The sequence below is a fragment of the Homo sapiens genome, chromosome 14, assembly GCF_000001405.40.
Source record: "Homo sapiens chromosome 14, GRCh38.p14 Primary Assembly".
In the NCBI taxonomy this organism is placed as follows: domain Eukaryota; kingdom Metazoa; phylum Chordata; class Mammalia; order Primates; family Hominidae; genus Homo; species Homo sapiens.
Window position 1 is genome coordinate 88,838,816 of NC_000014.9, and position 25,351 is coordinate 88,864,166.

General features: G+C 35.5%; 1 protein-coding gene across 11 annotated transcripts in view; it reads left to right on the forward strand.

Annotated features, from left to right (window-relative positions):
• Positions 1-25,351, forward strand: part of TTC8 (tetratricopeptide repeat domain 8) — a 56,927-nt gene that overhangs the window by 14,663 nt on the left and 16,913 nt on the right. For 3 of the 11 annotated variants that reach the window (NM_198309.3, NM_001366535.2, NM_144596.4), the window contains 8 exons: positions 637-757; positions 2,050-2,113; positions 2,222-2,381; positions 2,610-2,699; positions 4,991-5,035; positions 14,156-14,241; positions 18,375-18,462; positions 22,407-22,517. In NM_198309.3, coding sequence (NP_938051.1) covers positions 637-757; positions 2,050-2,113; positions 2,222-2,381; positions 2,610-2,699; positions 4,991-5,035; positions 14,156-14,241; positions 18,375-18,462; positions 22,407-22,517 — 765 coding nt within the window. Of the gene's footprint in view, positions 1-636; positions 758-2,049; positions 2,114-2,221; positions 2,382-2,609; positions 2,743-4,990; positions 5,036-7,782; positions 7,861-8,032; positions 8,093-14,155; positions 14,242-18,374; positions 18,463-22,406; positions 22,518-25,351 lie in introns of all 11 variants that reach the window. The other 8 variants (NM_001288781.1, XM_011536433.3, NM_198310.3 and 5 more) reach the window with 6 other exon arrangements.

Here is a 25,351-nt window from a genome sequence, read left to right on the forward strand (position 1 = left end):
GCAACCAGTGTTGTTTCGTTATTGGAATCGGATAAATTGATCTTAGTTCAGTTCAACCAACATTTCTTGAATACCTACTGTCTACAAAAACCATAGATATTATGGAAAATTCCAAAGTGAACAAGATATAAAAGTTTGCTAGAGTGTTTTTCAAATATGGTTAAGTGTGTAATAATAGAGGCATAAAGAGAAGTCTCTGAGAAAGACAAGAGTGTGTAATAGGTTTAGAACTGGAAAATCAGGGAAGGCTTTATAATAAAGGACTTGACCTTGAAGGAGGAAGGCAGAAAGAACAATGTGGTTGTAGCTTTATTCATTTGTTTTCAAATTATTATTTTAGTAAAATTTTCTCTAAAGATCTATCTTTTTATTTATAAAAAGGAGTGATAGAAGACTACCAGGTAATTACCCCACTTCTATTTACTATGTAATTGATACATTGGTTGTTTCTTGATTAATAATGATGGCTTCTTGTATTAGTTTTTGACATGGCCCTTTAAATTAAAATAATGTGTTAAGAGGTAAACATGTTTAATATAAAATGAAATAACAACAATGAAGGATGGCTATTTCTATAAGCTGTGTAGTATTTCTAATGCTATTTTAATATATGTTTTATTTATCCATGGGTTTTAGGCAGCTTGGATCTTAAAAGCAAGAGCGCTAACAGAAATGGTATACATAGATGAAATTGATGTAGATCAGGAAGGAATTGCAGAAATGATGCTGGATGAAAATGCTATAGCTCAAGTTCCACGTAAGTATTGGGTTTTCAGTTAAGTTAATGAAATACCATTAAGAGGAAGAATACTGTGTATAAGAGGAATATATATGCCTATATATTTCTACACTTTATATATATAAACATTATAGACATGAAACAAAAATGATGAAAAAACCATTACTTCAAGTAAATGGTTTCTGTTCTGCCTTATGGTACAAAGGCTTTTTCCCCACAATTCAGTTATCTTAAACTTAAGGTATGAGATTGATGTATAACAATTTTCTGATACAAGCTATATTATGCATTTTAGAAATAATTTATACCTACATTCAACTGCTGATCATATGGGAAAAATTTATAAAAGTACATTCTATTTGAACTACTTGTCTAATATATCAGAATATTGTTTATCTGGGAAGTATCCAAACAACAGAGGTGTTCTAAGAGCACTTTAAAAAAAGGTCGTTCGAAAACATCACTTTATTCTTATAATCGAACATGATTTGCTCTAAATCATAATGTGAGGTAATGAGGTGATATGCTGGGCTGTGAGTGTCTGTTGGGATTGTCACAGAGGCACAGTCCCCAGCTTGGAGATGTGGTGGTACAAATGGTATTGGATAATGGCTGATCTAAGAGTGTTGTTTACAACTAATTGATCACAACTCATTACAGATTTCTTTGTTCCTTCTTCACTCCCACTGCTTTACTTGACTAGCCTTAAAAAAAAAATGGTATTGAATTATAACCAGGACATATGGTGGTCTTGCTGGTAATTATAGTTCTCAGTCATTTATATCTTTTGGAAGGTAATAGCTATTTTAAACCTTCAAATAGAAATTGAGAAAAAAATACATATTTTTATGTTAATATATCTTTCTTTACCATTATTTTGTTCTTTTAGAATTAAAAATATCTAAATTCTAGATATTGTGGGTAAATTATCTTTTATTGGGAGAAGTTTGTATGAGAAATAATTGAACTATGAAGATAGAACCATTATTTTGAACTTTGGAGCCTGTTAGTCTTGAGTTTAAATCCCAGCCCTACTAATAGGTTGACCTGTTTACTTAATTCTGTGAACCTTTGTTAAATAGGTTAATACTACCTACTTTACAGACTTAATGTGATGATTAAATGTGATGACATAAGTAACATGATAGGTACTCATTAAATATTAGTCTAAAACACATCTCCCTAAAATACATTTCTTGCTATTAATGTCTTTTTCACCAGGCCAGCGCAATTCTGAAAATTGTATTAGCTTACAGTTTTTACAGATTAATAGATAATATATAAATTGTATTAGCCATCTTGTCTCCTAGGCCCTGGAACGTCTTTGAAACTCCCTGGAACTAATCAGACAGGAGGGCCTAGCCAGGCCGTTAGGTATGTACTTCTGCTTCATAACCTCTGCCACTAAATATTGATCAGACTGTATGAGAGTCTTTCCTCAAATGATCTTCTTTGTATTATAACAATTTATAATCTTCACAGGCCAATCACACAAGCTGGAAGACCCATTACAGGTTTCCTCAGGCCCAGCACGCAGAGTGGAAGGCCAGGCACTATGGAACAGGCTATCAGAACACCCAGAACCGCCTACACAGCCCGCCCTATCACCAGCTCCTCCGGAAGATTTGTCAGGCTGGGAACGGTAAATTCTATCAGCTTTCCCATAGCCTTGTATTACTTTGGTATTACCAAAGTAGCTTTATATTATGGTATATCATTTTCCCCTGTTGTTATAGTGGAGAATTATATGGAAGATTTTTGAAGGTGATTATTTTTATTTATGTTGCCTTTATATTTTTATGCATATTAAACTTGTTTACATTTCAAGAGAAAGTTTCAGATCTCTTGGTCTATTGTTTTTCCTCTGTAGGCTTCCATGCTTACAAGTCCTGATGGACCATTTATAAATTTATCTAGGCTGAATTTAACAAAGTATTCCCAGAAACCTAAGTTGGCAAAGGTATGTACTTAAAATGATTTTGAGTTATGAAGTAATATTACACGTATGATGATAATGACAAATTAGAAAATGAATAAAAACTTGTGAAGGAAAGGCCATGTCTTTATTGAAGTGGAAATGTTTTATATGTAAAATTACTCTTAGTCTTTGAGTTAATTGAGTTAAGGAAGGTCAGTCAGAAATAAAGTACATATACCATTATTATAGGAAATTCTTTTCCCTTGATAAAGAGTAGTAATTTGTAACAAAGAAAGCAGGTATGCAGCATCATCTTTGTAGAATGAAGCTTAAGAAGTCATCTGTATATGTACGTATTTTTTTCCTTTTTAGCTTGGACTATTCTCAGAGAAATAATTTTCTATCCTTGTAGGTTTTTTAGGACTGTCAAAGGATGATAAAAATTATGTACTCCTAATTAGTAATTTATCAGGCATCTCAAAAAGGATTACTGAAACCACATAGTGGCATGCCAACCACATTAGTAATTATCACTACTCAAAGATTAAATGCTCCTTTAAATTAAAGAGAAAATGAGAGGCAGAAGGAGAGGGAGAAAGGGAAAGAGAGGCAGAGGGAGAGAAAGAGAAAAAGAAAAATAAAGGAAGGTGTCCATGACCTTTTCAGTATATAAACCTTGAGGGTGAGCTTGCAATAATTCAGAGACAGGAGCACTTATCTTCCAGAAACTAATTTAAGCCTAGCTCAGGTTTTTAGCTGAAATCTCTGAGCATAAGTGCTGAGCTCATTCCTAATCTCAGTTCTAATGGTGTTTAACGTATGTGTTTACTAAATACCAAACACTCTAGAGAAAATTAAAATGGACACTAGCTGTACAGACTTAAGTTTAAGTCTGAAAAAAAGATGCCATTTGGTAGACAGGGAATTAGCCAGTAATAATTGCTGCTGATTTTTTTCTTAAATTCTTGTTCAGCAGCAATCCTGTTGACTTCATTTAGTAAAATTGTAAAGCTATCCTTACTTCCCTTTCTTTTATGAGAGTGGAGTAGTGAAAGCAACTCATGTGGAATATCTGGTTCCCTACCCTTTAAGGTCGCTTACTTGAAGGGACTGTCTGGCTAGTTGATACCATTGCTATTTTTTGACCAGAGAGTCAGTCAGTGGAAGCATTTTTCTCAATTAAATTAAGATGCATCCAGGACAGATCTGGTCTGTTACTAGATTTAGCCTGAACTAGATTTTGTGCTTTTTTAGTGTGTTGTAGAAATAATGCCAGGTTTTTCTGTCTTTGGCCCCCAGCTTGCCTTGACCCAAAAGGAGTCATTTTTAATAAAGGCATATTGCTTGGGGTGTCTAGGGTGACTCTATGACACTGTCTTTGATGCTGTAACGTCATTTTCATGGCAGTAGTAGCACCAATTGCACTCTTAACTTTTGTTTCTTTATAACAGAACAAATGGAAGGATTGTTATAGGTTTGTTTTTTTTTTTAAAGAAAGGCCTTGTCTTGATTTTTTTAAAAAATTGGTTGCCTCCAAGTCTTCTTTGTTAGTAACCTTGATATTTTCCAGGGCTGTTAGCCTCTTTGCAAGTGTAACAAGATGGTATTATGGAAAAAGGTAGTACCAATAAGAGTAAATGCTTATTTGTTTAGAGGAGTTGAGTGAAATATTGGAAATAATTGTTCTTAGCCCTGGCTGTACATGAGAGTTATCTGAGGGCTTTAAAAAATATAAGGTCAGGGCTTTGCCATCCCCCCAACTCTGATTTAATTTAAGTGGTCTGATATGTGCCCCACCGCCAGGTGATTCCAATGTCCAGCTTAGCTGAGTAGCACCCTGCTAAAGAAACCTGAATATTCTGAATCATAGAGTTACTATGAATACCATATAAGGAAAAATAGCTTTAAAAATTAAGCAAAAAACACCCTGCTTTACCCTTGTACTCTACTTTGTTTCAGTAGAAACTTCCAGTTTTTTTATGTCTAAATTATCATTATTAATATCATAATCACTGTATAATATATGTAGAGAATATAAAGAATTGTCTGCATCTGTTTTACGACAATTCTGAAGTTGGTCTTTAAGAAATAAATTTTTCAATTGTCTTTCTAATAAAATACATAATACGAAAAAAAGTTTAATTCTTTGAGCATTCCAGTTTGTATTCTGTTAAAACCAGAATCAGTTATAAATAGTAATATTTTAAAATGAGTGATAGTAACAAAAGATGGATAGGCCCTTTTATCTATAAATCCAGGGCTTTAGAGTACTTTTGTTAACAGCAAATTAAAAAAAAAAATCTAACGTATTTTTGACACTTTTTTCTTCACAGGCTTTGTTTGAGTATATCTTTCATCATGAAAATGATGTTAAGACTGTAAGTTTTGAATTCATGCTATTTTCTTTTATTGTAATTTTTCTGACTTTGGAAGTTTAGATTCTGAAATATTCTATTTCTGACCTTATAAACAGATGAAATTATTAAAGATTGGAGAACTACTAATACTTTAAAATCCACCCTCAGTTTCTGTGGGAAAATGTGTATAAATATACAAGTGATAAGAACTATGCTTGGTTCATAGAGTATGTAGATCTCCAATAAATGGGAAGATACAGGTTATTGAGAATACTGCATAACATGCTTGTGTTAAAGTTATAGTTTTTATGCTAATGGTGTTGTTGATCTGTTTATTTCCTTAGTCCATATAGTATATTATAGGTTTACTAACATGCATATTTCTGTTATTTTTGTGGTGTGTCCTTTTCCCCATCATTAACGTTTTATGATCAAAGATTTCAAACATACAAAAGTAGAGGGAATCGTCTTCATAGCCTCTTAACAGAGAATTTTAAAGTTATATGCGTATGACTTCTCAAATTGTTTTGATTTTTGCATACTTATATGCAAATGAGCAATAATGGAACAACTTTGGTCAAATCAAATGCAGTTCATTCTACAGTGTCTGATTGCATGTTTTCTCATTTTCCTATTAGTTCCAGGAAAAAGGCTTTATATCCATACATTAAGCATTTAGGAAAATAAAAATGTTTTCCTTAATTGTGTTTTCTTTTTTTCTTCTTTTTTTTTTGAGACAGAGTCTCACTCTGTCACCCAGGCTGGAATGCAGTGGTATTATCACGGCTCACTGTAGCCTTGACTTCCCAGGCTCAGGCGATCCTCCCATCTCAGCCTCCCAAGTAGCTGGGACTATAGGCGTGTGCCACCATGCCCAGCTGATTTTTTTTTTTTTAATTATCTGTACAGACATGCTCTCCCTATGTTTCCCAGGCTGGTCTTGAATTTCTGGCCTTAAGTGATCCTCCTGCCTCAGCTTCCCAAAGTGCTGGGATTACAGGTGTGAGCCACCATAGCCATCCCCTTAATTGTGTTTTCTATGTGTCAACCACTAGCTATACACTAGGAGAACTAATAAAAAATATGATACTTTTTCCTGCCTCTACAAGCCATGTAATCTAGCTGAAGAAATAAAATGGACATAAATGAAATAGTTAAAGAGGTAATTGTCAAACTGTGAAGTTGTTACCAAGTAGGAAAGGGAAAAATTCAGAAGGGATGATATTAGTAAAGATCCATGAAAATAAGTAGAATGTATGGAAAGGAGGAAAAAGAAATGTAAAGAAAGGGCAAAAACAAGAAAGAGATATGGAATGATCACTAAATCGTCCTTATCCTAGAAAATTGGAGTTCCACAGAGACATTTTAAAAAAGGAAGTGACAGAACTTGATGATAGATTTGATGCTAGGGACAAAGGAAAGACAGACAGGTCAAATTTGCCTCCTAGAGATGCTGTGAGAAGAGTGATAGTTTTATTGGCAGAAATGGGATAATTAGGGAAGGAAGTCAGTTTGTAAAGAAGCTGACTAAGTGACTTGAAGGCGTTTTGAGCTTGAAATGACAAAAGGCTATCTAAGTGGAGATACCATTGCATGTGTTGGGAGATGTGACATTGAAATGTAGGGGACAGCCTGGGCCACATGTATAGAATGTGGTGTTCATAGATGTGGTTATGTAGGGAAAAGAAAAAATGAAGGTTGGGACAGCTGAGAAACCATGCACACTTCTGTAAATAAAAGTCAGCCATTTTAACTTCATAAAAAGCTGGTGAGGGGCTTTCAGCATGATGATATATAAAATTATATGGTCAAACTGTAATTAAAAAGCATTAGAATGCTATTCCATTTCATAAATTAGTAAATCTCAAATTACTAGAGTATCATAAAGTGATACTCTTGTATTTGGAAGATTAATGCATATCAGGGGCATTTATTCTTTCATCCAATGTATGTTTGAACCACAGTTCCAGCCCTGAGATCACACAGTGAAACAGACAGACAAAGTCTCTGCTCTTTTAGAGATAATATTCTGGTTGGGCAAGGAATAGAAACAAACTTTAAAATGTATGAAGTCTTATGGGCTAATGAGTACTGTAACAACAAAGAAGCAGGAAAGCAGATAAGGGAATAAATAATGACGTGGGGGAGGATGCTATTTTGGATGGAGGGGGGAGTGGTCATTGAAGTCTCTCTGAACAGAAAATATGTGGCTCAGTGGCTGAATCCCAGCACTTTGGGAGGCTGAGGCAGGTGTATCACTGGAGCCCAGGGGTTCGAGACCAGCCTAGGCAACGTGGCGAAACCCTGTCTCTACAAAAAATACAAAAATTAGCCAGGCATGGTGGCACGTGCTTGTAGTCCCAGCTACTCTAGAGGGATAGAGCTGTAGTCCCAGCTACTCTGGGAGGATCACCTGAACCCAGGGAGGTCGAGGCTGCAGTGAGCCATGATCATGCCACTGCACTCCAGTTTGGGTGACAGGGTGAAACTCTGTCTCAAAAAAAAAGAAAAGAAAAGAAAACATTCTAACAGACACCTCAATGAAGGGGGACAGGAACCACATCATTATGTGTAGGAAGAGCATTTTCAAAGAGCTTTAACTGTAAAGGTCCTGAGTAGAAGCATGCTTGGGTTGTTTAAGGAACAGTAAGAAGGCCAGTGTGGCTGAGTGAGGCCTGTGAGGGGGAAGAGTTGTTGGTGATGAGTTTAGAAGCTAGGCAGATCATAAGCCATTTGTAGGTCATGGTGACAATGTTTTTTATTAATAGATTCATCTTGAAGATGTAGTTCTACATCTTGGAATTTACCCATTCTTATTGAGGAATAAAAATCACATTGAAAAAAATGTAAGATTTATTCCCTGCACTACTGCACTTAATATTCTAAAGATTCTAAGGGTTAGCCGACTGTAATTTTTACATATTATGTTAGTATCATAGTTCTTCATGCATATGAACTTAAAAATTTTTGATTTTAAACAGATAGAGTAGTAACATTTAAACTTTTTATTTTAAGCAGCAAAATCCTTTTCTTCAAGTGAAATCTTATCGAGACCCTAATACGTAAAACAGACAAAAGGTGAGCTACTTGAATTATAGCAGGGCTAGCAAACTTAGAACATATCCATCAGCCTCCTCCTTGCTCGTCCCACCCCATGATCTTCTGCCCCTCAAATATTGGGGCTGTTGGGTAGTTCCTATATAGGGCTCTGCTTCTAAATTACCTGGGGAATTATTAAATAAGGACTTCTGGATCTGTGCTAGACTTCTTGAGTCAGAATCCTCAAGGGTAGGTGTGGCGAATCTGTTGTTAATAAAAGCTCCGCAGGCAATGCTAATTTTCAGGCAGGATTGGAAAATACTGCCTTAGAATATAGTAGTTTAAAAACCAATGGTTAATAGACGGGTGTAATGCCAGGTGTTCCTGTGTAGTAAAATAGACCTGGGGAATATTAGCAGAACTCAAAAACCAGAGCTCCCTATAGCAAACAAAACAAGAGGGAGGTGTGTTACCTGTCTCAATGAAAGAAATCAGCAAATGAAGAGAAAAGAGACAGCAAACATGACTCAAACATATCTCATTAACACGGAGGTGATAGTAAAAACTATTGAGAACTGGAGTCCCCATTTATAAATTATATATTTTTATTCTTGGTAACAGTGACTCTCTTAAAACACCAAAACCAAGCAATATTGAACAAAATCGTTGACTCTTTTATCTTTATGATTCATTAAATGACACTTGAGAAAATTTGTCTGGGGACTTTATTTTAGATATTTAATCAATGAAGAAGAAAAAAAATTGAAACTAGCAAACATTAGGGTATTTCATAAAGTTGGTTGGATTTGTGAAACAATCACAAAGGAAAAAGACTTACTGATGCATATGTGTAATCTCTATCTAGTGGACAGAAACAAAATCAGAAGTAAAAGGGCAATAGAAGGGGGAATTATGTACATGAAGCATGATTTTGAAATATTGGTATTTATCATGTATAAAAAAGCTGATCTTGGCTGGGTGCAGTGGCTCACAACTGTAATCCCAGCACTTTGGGAGGCCAAGGTGGGTGGATCACCTGAGGTCAGGAGTTCGAGACAAGCCTGGACAACATGGTGAAACTCTGTCTATACTAAAAATACAAAAATTAGCTAGGCATAATGGCAGGTGCCTGTAATCCCAGCTACTCAGGAGGCTGAGGCAGGAGAATTGCTTGAACCCGGGAGGCAGAGGTTGCCGTGAGCCCAGATCGCGCCACTGCATTTCAGCCTGGGCGACAAGAGCGAAACTCTGTCTCAAAAAAAAAAAAAAAAAAAAAAAAAAGCTGATCTTAATTTTTGAAAAATTTTTATGACAATAGAAATGACCCCAAAACAGAAAATTTACATTAGAAAAAATGCTGGTAAATAAGCACATTAGAGGTGTACTTTTTTAATAACAACAAAAATATAAAATAAAGAGTCTTTGGACTTTGAGTTTTATATTTATGAAATTAGAAAAAAAATCCTGAGGGAGAGTACAGTTAGTTGTCATACATTATAGGTGATATTACACATGGTACCACAATTTGGAAAACAATATGATAATATAGAGCAGATAGCCTTAAAGATAGTTCCTCAATTTGTTTCTGTAATTTCACTTCTCAGGAGATTGCAGGAAAAACTAAAGTGCTGTATTTGCAATGGTGTTCATTGTAACTTTAGATATAGTGGCAAAACTATATCTAACCTAAATGTTTAACAATAGGGAATGAGTTTGGTAAATTATAATAAATAGCATGATGGAATCTTATGTAGCCATTAAAAACCATAATTATAAACACTAGGCAGAAACATGGAAAGTGTTTATTTTATAATGTTAAGCCAAAAGTATACCATTTAGTATGTTAAATAGAAGTATAACTCTAAAAATATGCATTTATGACAGATACTAGAAGGTATTACTTAAACATTAAAGTGGTAGTATTTTGAGGTTAAGATGTATTCATTCCACAAATATTTGTTGAATGCCTATGTTGTACCTCATGGTACTAACGGAGATTAAGTCTAACTTTACCTTTGTTTTAAAATTTTTCAACAATAATGTTATAGTAAAATGAATTATAAATTAGGGGCAATAATATATTAAAATGCTGCCAATTTGTACTCTGCTTGTTATTTTCATCTGCTTACCCCCAATATACATACATTTTTTGTAGAACATAAAATGGAGCAATTTGTTTTGTTCTTATTTAGTGAGAAACACAAATTGTTCCTTTGTTTTCCATTTTATTTACTAATTCATATATTGATACATGCGTTGATTAGTTTATTCTTTAAATAATAATGATTGGGTTGTATATATTGGTACTTTGATGGGTGCTAGGGGTGCTGAGTTGGACAGATGTCTTGTTCTGTTTCTCACTCTGGTACAGTCTTGCCACATTATAGTGATGTTGTGGATCAGATTGTTCCATTAAAATGTCATTCTTGCTTTTACCAGAAATGTTCTTTTCTGAATGGAAGAAGGATTTAGATAATAAGTATAAAGCATGTATTTTTATATCTTACATATATTTTGTAACTTTAGCTGGAAAAAGAAAACAGGAATTCTGTTTTTTAACATGTTAAGAAATCAGAGGTGTTTTCATATTTAGATACCTTGGGTGGCCTCCAAATTTCTCTTTAAATAAAGTATTTAACACAAATACAGAGAATATTATAGACAAATATAAGAAATACCTTGAAATGGTGTTTAAATATTAAGAAAGTATAAAATTGATTGTCCATGGAAAACGATTTTTCTGTCTTTGAGCTTTTAGTGCTTTTCTCATGTTGTGGGGGTGGGCAGTATCAACGAAACTCAGGGGACACGTGGGCTGGTGATTCTGTGTTTATCTACAGACTAATAGGAAGAATACTGTAGAGACAGAGAACGCCATGCAGTGGTATTTAAATGTTAGGAAAAAGTAAAGTTATATATGGAAAACTATTTCTGCCTTTGAGTATTTAATAACTCCCTTTCCCCACCTTTCCCTTTTTGGACAATATTGTTGGTATCGACAAAACTAAAGTGGCATGTGGGTTGGTGATTCTGCAATCTTTGTTTCCACATGCTCTTTAATTTCATCATCCTGAAGTTGTTACAACTATAACAACAGTGAAAGGATGACTTTTTTTAAACTTAGATCTGCCAAAATTCCTCCTACTTTTGGACTTTTATAAACTTACTGCTTTAAAAAAATGGCATTCTGAGCTTTTATTAATATCTAGATATTGGTTTTACTAAATCATCCAAAAATCATTAAAGTCTTATTTATTTTAAAAATTTGGGAATGATTAAAGAAATATAGATCTGTCACTACTTAAAAATTTTAAGGTTAATAGCTTTTAATTATGAATCTTATTACTATGACAATTTTGTTTGGTTTTTAAGGTGTTGTCAACAGACGTCAGAAACAAAGATTATAATTAATTCAGTCAACAGATAGTTCTTGAGTACCTCTTCTGTGCACAGCAATATTCCAGAACAACAGCACAGATGTAAAAGAGGATTATCTGTCCTCAGGGAGCTTGCCAGCCACTTAAAATTGTCCCAGATGGGCCAGGAATGGTGGCTCACACCTGTAATCCCAGCACTTTGGGAGGCTGAGGCAGGCGGATCAACTTGAGGTCAAGAGTTTGAGACTAGCCTGGCTAACATGGGGTGAAACCGTGTCTCCACTAAAAACATAAAACATTAGCTGGGCAGGGTGGCACATACCTGTAATCCCAGCTACTCAGGAGGCTGAGGCATGAAGATTGCTTGAGCCTGGGAGGTGGAGGAGTCGAGATTGTGCCACTGCACTCCATCCAGCCTGGGCAACAGAGCAAGACTGTATCAAAAAAGAAAGGAAAGAAATTGTCACAAATGTTTTTCTTTAGTGCCAGTGAGGACAGAAAAACCAAATTCTGTCAAAATATTTAAAGAGGTTTATTCTGAGTCAATATGCGTGACCTCGGTCTGGGGATACACAGTCTCAAAAGGTCCTGAGAAAGTGTGCCCAAGGCAACTGGGTTACAGTTTGGCTTTGTACATTTCAGGAAAGTATGGGAATTGCAGGTAAAATCATAAATCAGTACATGGAAGGTATACAGTGATTGGGCCTGAAAATTCTGTACATCTCGAAGCCATGGCTTACAAGTCATTGGTGGGTTTTAGGGATTCTTTAGTTGGCAATTGGTTGAAAGGTAATCTTTGTCTAAAGACTTGAAGTCAGTACATAAGGATGTTTAAGATCAGGGGGTGTCTGCCATCTCTCATGTGATGCTACACTAGAGTCAGATTGGAAAATAGGCTGCATTATACCAGCTTAGTTTAAAAAAACTGTTTAATGAGATTTTATGGTTTGTGGGGTCTGCTTAGAAAGGATTTGGGGCAAGAGAAAAAAAGGTCAGAGTTCAGTCCTTAGCAGCCTGAGTCTTCATCATTATAATTTCTTTTTGCCATTTTTATTCTGTATCAATAATTTATATTAATATCCTTAATTGGATTAGCACAAAGATATGGGTTCTCCATAGGATGAGTTGTTTTAGGACCAACTATGCAAGCAAAACCAGCAACCTGTAAGAAGCACTAAATCTAACCTTGGGAAGTTAGAAGACATAAAAAATTTTTGCATGACATCTTTTTCTAAAAAATAGAAGGTCTGTTTATACAAAGCATGAGAAGGACTATGGTCTATTTGCTGGAAAAAGGTCTTTATAAAGATCAACTTAAAATGTTTAGATATTTACCATGTATGCCTGAATTAAGCTGGCTGAAAATATATTTTTCTAGTATATCTGAAAATAATGCTAATTGTAGTTATACTTTTCTCCTCATTTTTTTTTGTTTCATTTTTATTTCTGGCTGGGGGCAGGGTGGTGGGGGAGAAAAATAAGCATATGAAAGTACTGTGTGGCTTCTTTTTAATTTTCATAGCTTTCAAGTAGAGATGCTGATTTTTCAAGTCCATTAGAGGCTCAGCATGGTGTCACCATTTCTTTATAAGTAGTTTGCATATTTAAAGATCTCCCCTGGAGCAAGAGAAGATGGGGAACACAAGGAAAAATAATTAATTATACAGTAAGATTAAGGAACTCGCATTCATTTCAGAAAAGAGTTGGTATTAAGAAGTGGACAGTAATCTGGGATGTGTTTTGAGATAATAGAACTGAAAATCTAAGAGGTACTTTAACTGAGCTCTTGGATATCATGATTATGTTAACACTGGCTAAAGAATAAAAAACTTTCAGCCTTGAGAGAAAAATCGTATTACAAAAAATCAGAATTCTCTCTTAACTAGTAGCCCCAGCTTCTATTAATCACATCTTTATCTGAGCTTCAAATTTCTACAAAGACTGATTTGCTTTCCCTTTGTCAAAAATGGTTTCCACCTCCTCTATGTAAAATTCTAATTCTTTTTTAGTCACCTCTTGTCTAATCTTGAATAAACAATAGAGGGAACAAACTCGAGGGTATTAAAGATATGGGGTAAACAAATGTAAAATATGAAAACAATTGAAGAGAAGATCTTTTTCAGTTTGTGGCAAAGGGCAGTCTGCTCCTTAGAATTTACTGGGACTTAAGGTGATGTCAGAAAAGTGAAATGATGGTTGTTGAAGACAACAGTTATCCAAATACTCCAGCTCCTTTCACTCTTCTTCATGATCCCATTTTCCAAGCCTTTTCTCTACCTGCTTACTTAATCTTTATTTCTCTACATCTGTCTTGAAAGTGGGCACTGCCACTGGATCTGGCTTACACACCGAAGACTTGACTGCCACGGAGTTTGGAGGCATTTTGAATCATTATACAGTAGATAAATCAGGGGGAGTGGGTAAAAACTTAGGCATTTTTTAATATCAATTTTGTGTCTTGTATATTAAAATTATATTCAAATATATTATACATCTGCTTCCCTTTGATGAGTGTTTTTATCTCATCTGCTATTAGCCCTCTGGTCTGGAACTGATTAGTGAAAATTGGTGGGGCCATCTGGAAACATGAGCAACTTGAGTTTCTGTCGGATTTCTAATGCACATTTTGATTGGTGCTAATTATATGGTCTATTTCATTATTTATTTTCCTGACTGCTTATTGTTAGAAAAGAAAATACTAATCTAAAATGAATTGTTTTCAAAGGCTTTGGATCTGGCTGCCCTCTCCACAGAACATTCTCAGTACAAGGACTGGTGGTGGAAAGTACAGATTGGAAAATGTTACTACAGGTAAATTTCATTATTTGTGAAGGGCTTAGAAGTGGCCACGTATTTTAGGGTCTCAAATCTGATACTTTTTGAGGGGGGGGAGATTTTCCCATGAAGAAATGAGAACTGTGTCTTTGACTTACTTGATAAAGCATTTACTTAACAATCACAGGGTAGCAATAAGAATTAATACCTTTAGAATAATAAAACTTTGAGCTGGGAGAGGGAAGCTTTGAGACCATCAGGCCCAACTCCCCTTTTCACATGAGGAAGCTGAGGCCAAGACAGTGGCTGTAATTTGCATCAGGAGCTAGTGAGTAACAGACCAGGGACTAGAACCAAGTCTGCTGATTTCTAGTTCTGTTCTCTTGGTAATCAAATCTTTTTATTTACACTGATGCCTCACATCTGTAAAACACTTCATAGTTAAGAGATACTTTGTTCCTACATTATACCATTTCACTTAAGTCTCACAGAACCTTGGAGGTAGTGGCTATCGTTAGTCCTTTTCCCAGATGAAAAAAATTGAGCCTCACAAAGATAAAGTGATTTGTCCAAATTCACGTAACCAGTAAGTGGCAGAACAAGAATTTGAGCTCCCTTTCTGACGCCAATTCTCTTGCTGTTTCCACAATTCCATATTGTTTCTGTAGGACCTGAGTATTTTTATATTCTCTTAATGTTTCAATGTATTTTAAAGCAAATTAACTGAGAGATCAGAAGAGTCGTAATGAATTTTATGAATATTTATATAGCAACTAGTAAATAAGATCTGAAACTTGTTGCTGATATTGAAATGCATATAGAACATTTGGAAAAATAGAAACAAATGAACAATTCTATTTTTAAGTATAAATATCTTTTATTATTAAAATAGGGTAGACTTCAGTTACTATGAGCACACTTCAATATTTATAAGCTTCAGTTGTCATTCAAGTACTCTGAGAAAAAAGAAGACTATAAATGGGACAAAAAGCATGTTTATTGTTCTGCCGTTGAAATTAAGACTACTTTCCATTTAGATATTTCACATAAAACTCTAAAGTGTTTTTTCCTGCTGCTAGATGGAGAAAGTGTTTTCTGCTAAAAGGTAATTTTAGACCATTATATCATTAAACTCTTATGAATGTAATTCCTGGAGACAGTCTTGAAATCTTGAGCTGCCAAGCAAAACCTTCAGAAATGCTTGATAATTAAAGGAAAGCAAAACTCTGATTCCTTTTGCCATCCATATACGATGGCATTTAAATGAGTGTACCTTGTCATATTAAATTATCCTTCTTTTCTGTTCTTTAATACCTGCCCATCTTTATGACATATTCAGTATTCTTTCACTTATACATTCATTCATTCACTCAGTAAAATATTTAATGGGCAGCTACTCTGCCAGGAACTGGGAGTACAAAAGATTAGATTGTCCGTTCTTTCAAATGGTTTACAATAGAATGGAGGAGAGAGGACAGTAAATAATTACGGGTTAAGTATTTCTTATCTGAAATGCTTGGGAACAGAAGTGTTTCAGATTTTGCAATATTTGAATATATTTAATGAGATATCTTGGGGATGGGACCCAGGTTTAAAGATGAAATTCATATATGTTTCATATAAACCTTATACACATAGCCTGAAGGTAATTTTGTATAATATTTTATTTTATTATATTTTTTAGAGATGGGATCTTGCTCTTTCACCCAGGCTGGAGTGTAGTTATATGATTGTGGCTCACTGCAGCCTCAATCTCCTGGGCTTAAGCCATCCTGCTTCAGTCTCCCAAGCTGGGATTACAGGCACATGCCACCATGCCCGGCTAATTTTTTAAAGCTTTCTTTTTTATAGAGACAGGTTCTTGCTATGTTGCCCAAGGTGGTCTTGAACCCCTGGACTCACACCATCCTCCCGCCTTGGCATCCTAAGGTGCTGGGATTATAGGCATTAGCCATTGAATCCTGCCATACTCCCATTATTATGTCCTTTTCAATGAAACCAAATTCAGCATTCCCTAACATGCTGTTTACTTTACTGCCTATGTACTTACGTTCATGGTTTAATTTTATTTTGGAAATGTCGCTCTTCCCTCCACATCTGGCTGTTGAAATCTTGCCTGTTTACTATCTCCCTGAACCTCCTCTGTGCTCTCAAAGCACTTTTTTCCTGATTGACCATAATATGATTAAATTTATTTGTGAACATGTTTTGTTTCATTCTTTGATTATCATTGCTTTAAGGACATGGTTGTTACCTTCTTCATTTTTCATCTCCTTACCATCACGAAATAAGCACGCAGTTGACACTTTACAGTTTTGTTAACTTTAAGTTGGAGAGAAAAAGTTGGCAGCTGGACTCTGACTCTTTGATACTGGCCGGTGTTTATAAACTTGACTGATGTTTTATGCCTTGACTTTCTTTGAACATGGCATGTTCCATTTTCTTTGCACAAGAATTCATGTGGTGGATTCCTTTTTGATAGTATTAGATTAAGTTCTCTCTTAAGGCTGTAGTAATAAAGAACATGGTTCTTTGGCTTTCATGTAGTGTAATATTTCTGATTATATTTTTATTTTTAAAATTTATCTACATTGTTTTTAAAATAATCTATTTCTGTTTTCATATTCTTGTTTTATATGTATCTTTTTATTGTAATCCCTTTTAAATCATTTTTGGAAAGAAACAAGTTAGATAAAAATACACAGACTCTCATGGATAATTTAAATTCATGGAATTTAGTGACTGTATTTCAGTCACGTGTTTAAGACTTGCATGCATGGCCAGGTGCGGTGGCTCATGCCTGTAATCCCAGCACTTTGGGAGGCCAAGGTGGGAGGATAGTTTGAGCCCAGGAGTTGGCAGCCAGCCTTGGCAACAAGGTGAGATCCTGTCTTTACCGAAACAAAATACAAAAGTTAGTCGGGCATAGTGGTACATGTCAGTAATCCCAGCTACTTGGGAGGCTAAGACAGAGGATTGCTTGAGCCCCAGAGGGCAAGGCTGCGGTGAGCTGTGATCCCACCATTGCCCTCCAGCCTGGGCGACAGAGACTCTATCTCAAAAGAAAGAAAAAGATTTGCATGTTCAGTTGATGTTGTGTACATATATATGTTGGTTTTCAGAACTTTAGAGTTCTTTGATAACATTTTATAAATACTCCCTGTGAAACTGTGGGACCTTTGAAGAGGTAGGGGCTTCTGCCATGTCCCACATCTTCTCACTTTAGCCTTTAACCACTTTAATCCCAAGGCCTCCAATAGCTATTTGGGCATCAGCCACACCAATGCTTAAGGTTTAAGGTTATGAAAAATGATCAAAGGTCTTCTTTCAAGCCTTTAAATGAAAGTAGCACAATGGAGCATACTGTATATCATTTTGATTTGATTTCACAAAATAAAACATTATCGTATCTGAGTAGCTCTCAGATAGCTAAAAAATGAGTGGTTATGAGTAAGCCTAACAGGTCTATTAAGGACATGAATGAATAGACCTGTTGAAAGTTGTGTGTGTTTTAATGATTGAATTAGTGGCAACAGATTCTTTCCTGGGTGTAAGAGGTAGGCCCTACTTACATCAGGACAGTCATATTTAGGCAAGGAGCAAATCTCAGATTCATAGACTAGGACAATCAGTATCAGATATCTAATAAGGGAAAACAAGATTTCTAGAATAATAAAATGGTATAACTATATTACCCAAGTGCTAATTATTACTTACATCAGAATAGCTTTTAAAGATAGCTTTTAAAAATGTGCTTTTGTCTCAGAGCAGAAGAGATTTTCAAATAAATGTCATCCTTCAGCTCTTCCAGTAATATGGAGACTCTAAGCATTTATTCAGGTCACTTGCCATATGTCCAGCTGATCATAAGCTCTTTGGGTGGTGAACTGATGTGACCTGGCTTACTAGCAGCTATTATCTTAGTCCTGCTGTGACTAGGCTTCAGACAGACTCTTTACATACCATTTGGGGGTTAGAAGCCAGTGAATATGGGAGATAGGCAACTTATTGCTAAGCTGTATAAATAAACATGTTAATTTATGTGTATGTGCAACATTACCTTCCTTGGTATGTGCTTCCTCTTATAATTTGTCTCTATTCATCCTCAGGGTATGATGTAGTGTTTATTTTTAAGTTGAATGTCTAATTCTTAAAATTGCTATTTGTAGGTTGGGAATGTATCGTGAAGCAGAAAAACAGTTTAAATCAGCCCTGAAGCAGCAGGAAATGGTAGATACATTTCTGTACTTGGCAAAAGTAAGTAAATCTTAATTTGAGTGAAATCTGCCTTCTCAGAATAAATGTTTAAATTCTGGCCATTGCATGGGGAGAGTAAACAGCTTCTTCAGGAATATTTGGCAAGTTACTATGTTTAGATTTAACTTGTTTTTCTTTACAGCAAGGGAAAAAATGAGAACGTATAGAGGGTAACTGTCTCATAAGAAATTGATTGCCATGAAAAATAAGAAGACCCATTTGAAAGATTGCCCATTAGGACAGGAGAAAATACCATAGGCTCACTACTCGCATAGGTAACAGGCCCCAATGAGGCCTTATTTTCTACAGTACCTTTGTATCCCACTTGGGCAGGTAGTAGAGAACAGGGACTGTTTTTACTTAGGTTCCTAGTTACTCGGCTGAGGCATAATAATAAAAATAATACTTCACCTTTATTGATCACCTACTCAGTGTAAAACATTTTATCATGTTCATTATATATACAGTTTAACCCTCACAATAACCCTGCAAAGGTGAGTTTTATCATTTCCTTTATACTCTTAAGGAAAATTAAATTTAAAGAGGGGTAAGTTTTTCAGGGTCCCTTGGTGGTTAGGAGTTAGCATTCAGATCCAGGTCTTTCTGACTCCAGACCTAGTCACTGCTGCAGTGCCACCTGCAGCCACAGCAGAAATGATGGGGCCACCTAGGATTTTCTTTCTTTCATTTTTTTTTTTTTTTGAGATGGAGTCTTGCTCTGTTGCCCAGGCTGGAGTGCAGTGGCATGATCTCAGCTCACTACAACCTCTGCCTCCTAGATTCGAGTGATTCTCCTGTCTCAGCCTCCCAAGTAGCTGGGATTACAGATGCACACCACCATGCCTAGCTAATTTTTGTATTTTTAGTAGAAATGGGGTTTCACCATGTTGGCCAGGCTGGTCTTGAGCTGCCGGCCTCAAGTGATCCTCCCGCCTCAGCCTCCTTAAAGTGCTGGGGTTACAGGTGGGAGCCACCATGCCTGGCCAGAATTTTCAATAGTGGAGTAAAGTTACTTCTTGACCCTCACCAAGGCTACTTTGAAAGAAAAACACAAGTGGTGGTGATGACATGATTTTGCTTTATCTGTTAGAGTTTCTTAAATTAAAAAATGTGGTAAAGGAGATTCAAAAGAAGATGAGATATAAAAGGAAGTGCTACTAGTTCCTAAATATGGGAATAAAAATTAACATATGAAAAGCAAAATGAAAGTTATATAAATTTACTGTGCTAGTCTTAGTATGTTTTAATGACTTTCAAAAATGTTTGAAACTATCTGGTATCTAACTTTATCTTCTATATGTGATATATTCAACTTAAACAATTTTTTTTTTTCTGAGTAGGGGTGTCACTCTGTCACCCAGGCTGGAGTGCACTGCCATTATCACGGCTCACTGCAGCCTTGACTTCCCAGGCTCAGGCGATCCTCTCCTCTCAGCCTCCTGAGTAGCTGGGACCACAGGCCACCATGCCTGGATAATTTTTTTTTTTTTTTTTTTTTTTTTTTTGGTAGAGATGGATTCTTGCTGTGTTGATAGGCTGGTCTCAAACTCCTGGCCTCAAGCGATCCTCTGGCCTCAGCCTACCAAAGTGCTAGAATTACAGGTGTGAGCCATCATGCCCAGCTTACACTTAAAGTCTTAAAGAAGTTTCTGTGCATCATAGTAAACTTTTTGGAAAGAGCTTGAAATTAAGGCTCAAGTCACACTATTTGACTATCATCTTAATTGATAATCACTATGTTGTTGAAAAAATATGCTTTTTATTTAACTCTTGTTAAATACATGGCTTCACCTGTTTTTCCATAAATTGATTTGTTTATTATTCCCTACACAACTATATAGAGGTAGAATATACAGTTTTTCTTTAATGTATGAATGGATGGTTATTATGTAATAGAGATCAAGCAGATTTTTGTTCTATCACAATGACACATGCATGCATATGTTCATTGCAGCACTATTCACAATAGCAAAGACATGGAATTAACCTAAATGCCCATCAGTGGTAGACCGGATAATGAAAATGTGGTACATATACACTATGGAATACTATACAGCCATAAAAAAGAATGAGAGCATGTCCTTTGCAGGAACATGGATGGAGCTGGAGGCCATTATCCTCAGCAAACTAACACAGGAACAGAAAACCACATACCTCATGTTCTCACTATAAGTGGGAGCTAACTGATGAGAACACATGGACACATAGAGGGGAGCAGCAGACACTGGGGCCTCCGAGAGGGTGTAAGGAGGGAGAGGAGCAGAAAAAATAACTAATGGGTAGTAGGCTTAATTCCTGGGTGATGAAATAATCTGTACAACAAACTCCCCATGATATGAGTTTACCTATATAACAAACCTGCACATGTACCCTGGTGGCTCATGCCTGTAATCCCAGCACTTTGGGAGGCTGAGGCTGGAGGATTGCTTGAGTCCTGGAGTTCGAGACCAGCCTGGACAACATAGTGAGACTCATCTCTAAAAAATATATATACATATGAAATTCAATATATATTTAATTTATATAAAAATATAAGATTATATAATTATAAACATATAAAAATAATATAAATATATAATCATATATAATATAAATATATTATATATTATATAATATATAATATAATATAAATATAATAACTATATAGCATGTTTATTATAATGTATACTATATATAGTAATATAATATAAATATTTTTATATAATATATATTTACATATGTTGTATATGTGTAAAGGAAAGAGATCAAGCAGATTTTAGGAACATTGCTTTTTAAAGTTCTTAATTGTTAATTTAAAAATTAAACCTTTTAGATTATGTAAATACTAATTATATATTATTTGTTATATTTTTAAAATATAGAACTTGTACAGTCAATAGTGTATAAGGTAAAAACTGAAAAGTTATTATCCATACCTCTCTCTCTCATCTCAAACTTTAATGATAAATACTTTAGTTTTCTATTGTATCCCTTTGGATTTTTTCTCAAAGCACACCCTTACTGTTTAGAAAGTGGATCCGAAAATCATGGAAAAAAAGTGTCATAATCTTATGTTGCCATACATAAAATAATAATACTGTTTTAGAAATTCCTATTAAGTATATGGTTTACTCATGCTAATGTTCTAATTGCTAATGAAGTGGAAGCCATTAAGTGCTAACTTGCTTTACTCCCTGACCTCACAAACCTGTGTCCTCTCTTGTTTTGGAAAGGCCTGTCCACTGCCTATCTCTCTCAGGCCTTGTTCCATGGGTCATCTCCTCTTTATTCAGCATCTTTAACCTCAGTCTCCTAATTGGTTTCTTAATGCCAGCCTATAGACATAATCATACCTGTTCTATCCTAAAAAGATTTTCCCTTGATTCTTTCTTGTCTAGTTACTATTGCCAGTCTCTGGCAATAGTAAACTCACAGTAAGCATTTGTTAGAGAATAAATGAATGAATGCTTTATGTATAACATGTGGAGATAAAACTATAATGTCATTATTGAAAATTAATCCTGCACATTTTTGAAAATTCTTTCTTCTTCTTCTTTTTTTTTTTTTGAAGACAGGGTTTCACTCTGTTGCCCAGGCTGGAGTGCAGTGCGATCACAGCTCACTGCGGCCTTGACCTCCCAGGCTCTAGTGATCCTCCCATCTCAGCCTCCCAAGTAGCTGGAACTACAGGCACATGCCAGCATGCCCAGCTAATTTTTGTATTTTTTGTAGAGATGGGGTTTCACTGTGTTGCCCAGGCTGGTCTCGAACTCCTGGTCTCAAGTGGTCCACCCACCTCAGCCTCCCAAAATGCTGGGAATACAGGTGTGAGCCACCACACCCGGCTAAAAATTCTTTAATGTAATATCTAGGAGATAATTTGTTACTAATCAATAATTATAAATGTCATAACAAATATTAATTTTAAGAACCTATACTTTTATTGAAATGTATCTTGTTTTTAGGTTTATGTCTCATTGGATCAACCTGTGACTGCTTTAAATCTTTTCAAACAAGGCTTAGATAAGTTTCCAGGAGAAGTAACCCTGCTCTGTGGAATTGCAAGAATCTATGAGGTAATTCATGTTATTATTATTATTATTTATTGATACACAATAGTTTTACATATTTTTGTGGTACATGTGATATTTTAATTCCTGTATACAATGTGTAATGATCAAATCAGGGTAATTGAGTTATCTATCACCTCAAACATTTATCTTTTCTTTGTTTTGGGAACATTACAATTCTTTCCTAGCTATTTTGAAATATACAATAAATTATTGTTAACCATAATTTCCCTACTGTACTATCAAATAGAACTTATTCTTTATGTCTAAATATTTTTGTACCCCTTAACCAACTTCTCTTCATCCTCCAGTCTCCCCACACCCTTCCTAGCCTCTGGTAACCATAATTTTACCTTTTACCTCCATTAGATCCACTTTTTTAGCTACTGCATGAGTGAGAACATGCGGCACTTTTCTTTCTGTGCCTGGCTTATTTCACTTAACATAATGACTTCCATTTCCATTCATGTTCCTACAAATGACAGGATTTCATCCTTTTTTATGGCTCAATATTGCTTTATTGTGTCTATATACCACATTTTCTTTATCCATTCATCCACTGATGGACACTCAGGTTGATTCCACATCTTGGCTATTGTGAATAGTGCTGCAATAAACATGGGATATCTCTTTGATATACAGATTTCCTTTCTTTTGGGTATATATTCAGCAGTGGGATTGCTGGATCATATGGTAGGTCTATTTTGAGTTTTTTTGTGGAACCTCCATACTGTTTTCCATAACAACTATACTACTTTACATTCCCATCAACAGTGTATGAGCATTCATTCCCCTGCCTTCACATCCTTGCCAGCATTTGTTATTTTTTTGTCTTTTTGATGATAGCCGTTCTAACTGGGGTGAGATGATATTTCACTGTGGTTTTGATTTACATTTCCCGGATGATTAGTAATGTTGAGCATGTGTTCATATACCTGTTGGCCATTTGTATGTCTTCTTTTGAGAAATGTCTATTCAAGTCTTTTGTCCATATTTAAATTGGATTGCTTGTTTTCTTGTTTAGTTATTTGAGTTCTATATTCTGATAATCCTTTCTTGGATGGTGTATTAGGTGATTCTTGCATTGCTATAACATTGGTATAAGAATGGACAAACAATCCAGTGGAACAGAATAGAAAGCCCCAAAATGTATCTTCCACAAATAGACAAAAATTGATACTGACATTACATTCCATTCTCTCTCTCTCTCTCTCCATATATATATATATATATATATATATATATATATATATATATATATATATATATATTTAGAGATGGGTTCTCACTCTGTTGCCCAGGCTGGATCGCAGTGACGTAATCATAACTCACTGCAGCCTCCAAATTCCTAGGCTCCAGTGATCCTACGTCAGCCTCCTGGGTAGCTGGGACTACAGGCTTGTGCCCCCATGTCCAGCTAATTTTTTTTACTTTTTGCAGAAATGGGATCTTACTTTGTTGATCAGGCTGGTCTCGAACTTCTGGCATCATGCTTATAAATTTTAGAGTCATGTCGTCAAATTCTATGAAAAGTCCCATTGAGATATCTTCCCTGCTATCTAATTATTGTAGTTTTACAATAATTCATGATATCAGGTTGGGCAAATTCTACCACCTTTTTCTTCTTGTTTACAGTTGGTTTTCCTGGCCCTTTGCTCTTCCATATTGATTGTAGGATTGGCCTATCAAGAGCCATAAAAATCCCTGGAAGCATATTGATTGGAATTACATTGAGTGTGTGAATGATGGGGAGGGGGTGGGTGGGCCGCCTGTCTTCCCATTCTCCATCATGATATAACTCTCCATTTACCTAGGTCTTTTTTTTGTTCTTCAGCAAATATTTTGTAATTATCTCCAGAAAGATGGTGTGTTGAGGGTCCCCCAAACCACGCTGAGATTCAGTGATTTACTGGGACTCATAGTACTCAGCCAGCAGTTGTACTCACTGCTATGATTTATTTCAGCAAAAGGATACAAAGCAAAATTAGTAAAAGGAAACAGCTCTTGGGGCAAAGTTCAGAGGAAACCAGGTACAAGCTTCCAAGAGCTCCCTCCCAGTGGAGTCACACAGGACACACTTAATTCTTCCAGCAGCAAGTTGTGACAACTCATGAGAAGTGATGTCTACCAGGGAAGCTCATTAGAGACTCTGTATCCATGGTTACTATTGGGTGCTGGTCATATAATCACACACTGTTTATCACACAACAAAGACTCCCAGAAGTAAACAGGCATTCAGCACAAACCACACTGTTTACGCAAACAGGTTAGGTGTAGCAAGCTACGCTTATCATCTGGGGAAATTTCATATCAATGTAGAGAACCAGCCAAATTCCCAGATACAGGCCTTTCTAAGAATAGTGGTCTCAGGCCTGCTATGTTAACTTTTTTCTATGCAGGTGTATTCCTACGTATAAGTATGAATGGAATCCTTAATTTTTTCTCTTCTATTTTCTATTTGATTACTTCTGGCAGATAGGAATGTATTACTTTTTAAAACTTTTTTTGATACTAGCAACTCTTTAAATTGTAAGATCTTGTTCATAGGTCCTCTTGGATATTCTAAGTAAATAAAACAATCATCATTTGCAAATACAGATGGTTTCATCTCTTCCTTTCAATTATTTTACCACTTTTAAAAATATGTCTTACTGCTTAGGGCTTCCAATATAATATTGAACAGACATATCTCTGTTTTCTTGAAATTCCTTGAAAATGCTAGGTATGATATTTTGAAATCATTTTGTTAGAAAAGAATGGAATATATTAATAGCTTCTATACCTAGGTGATAGTATATGAATTTTTTTTATACTTTCTGTATTTTCTAGATTTTCCATAA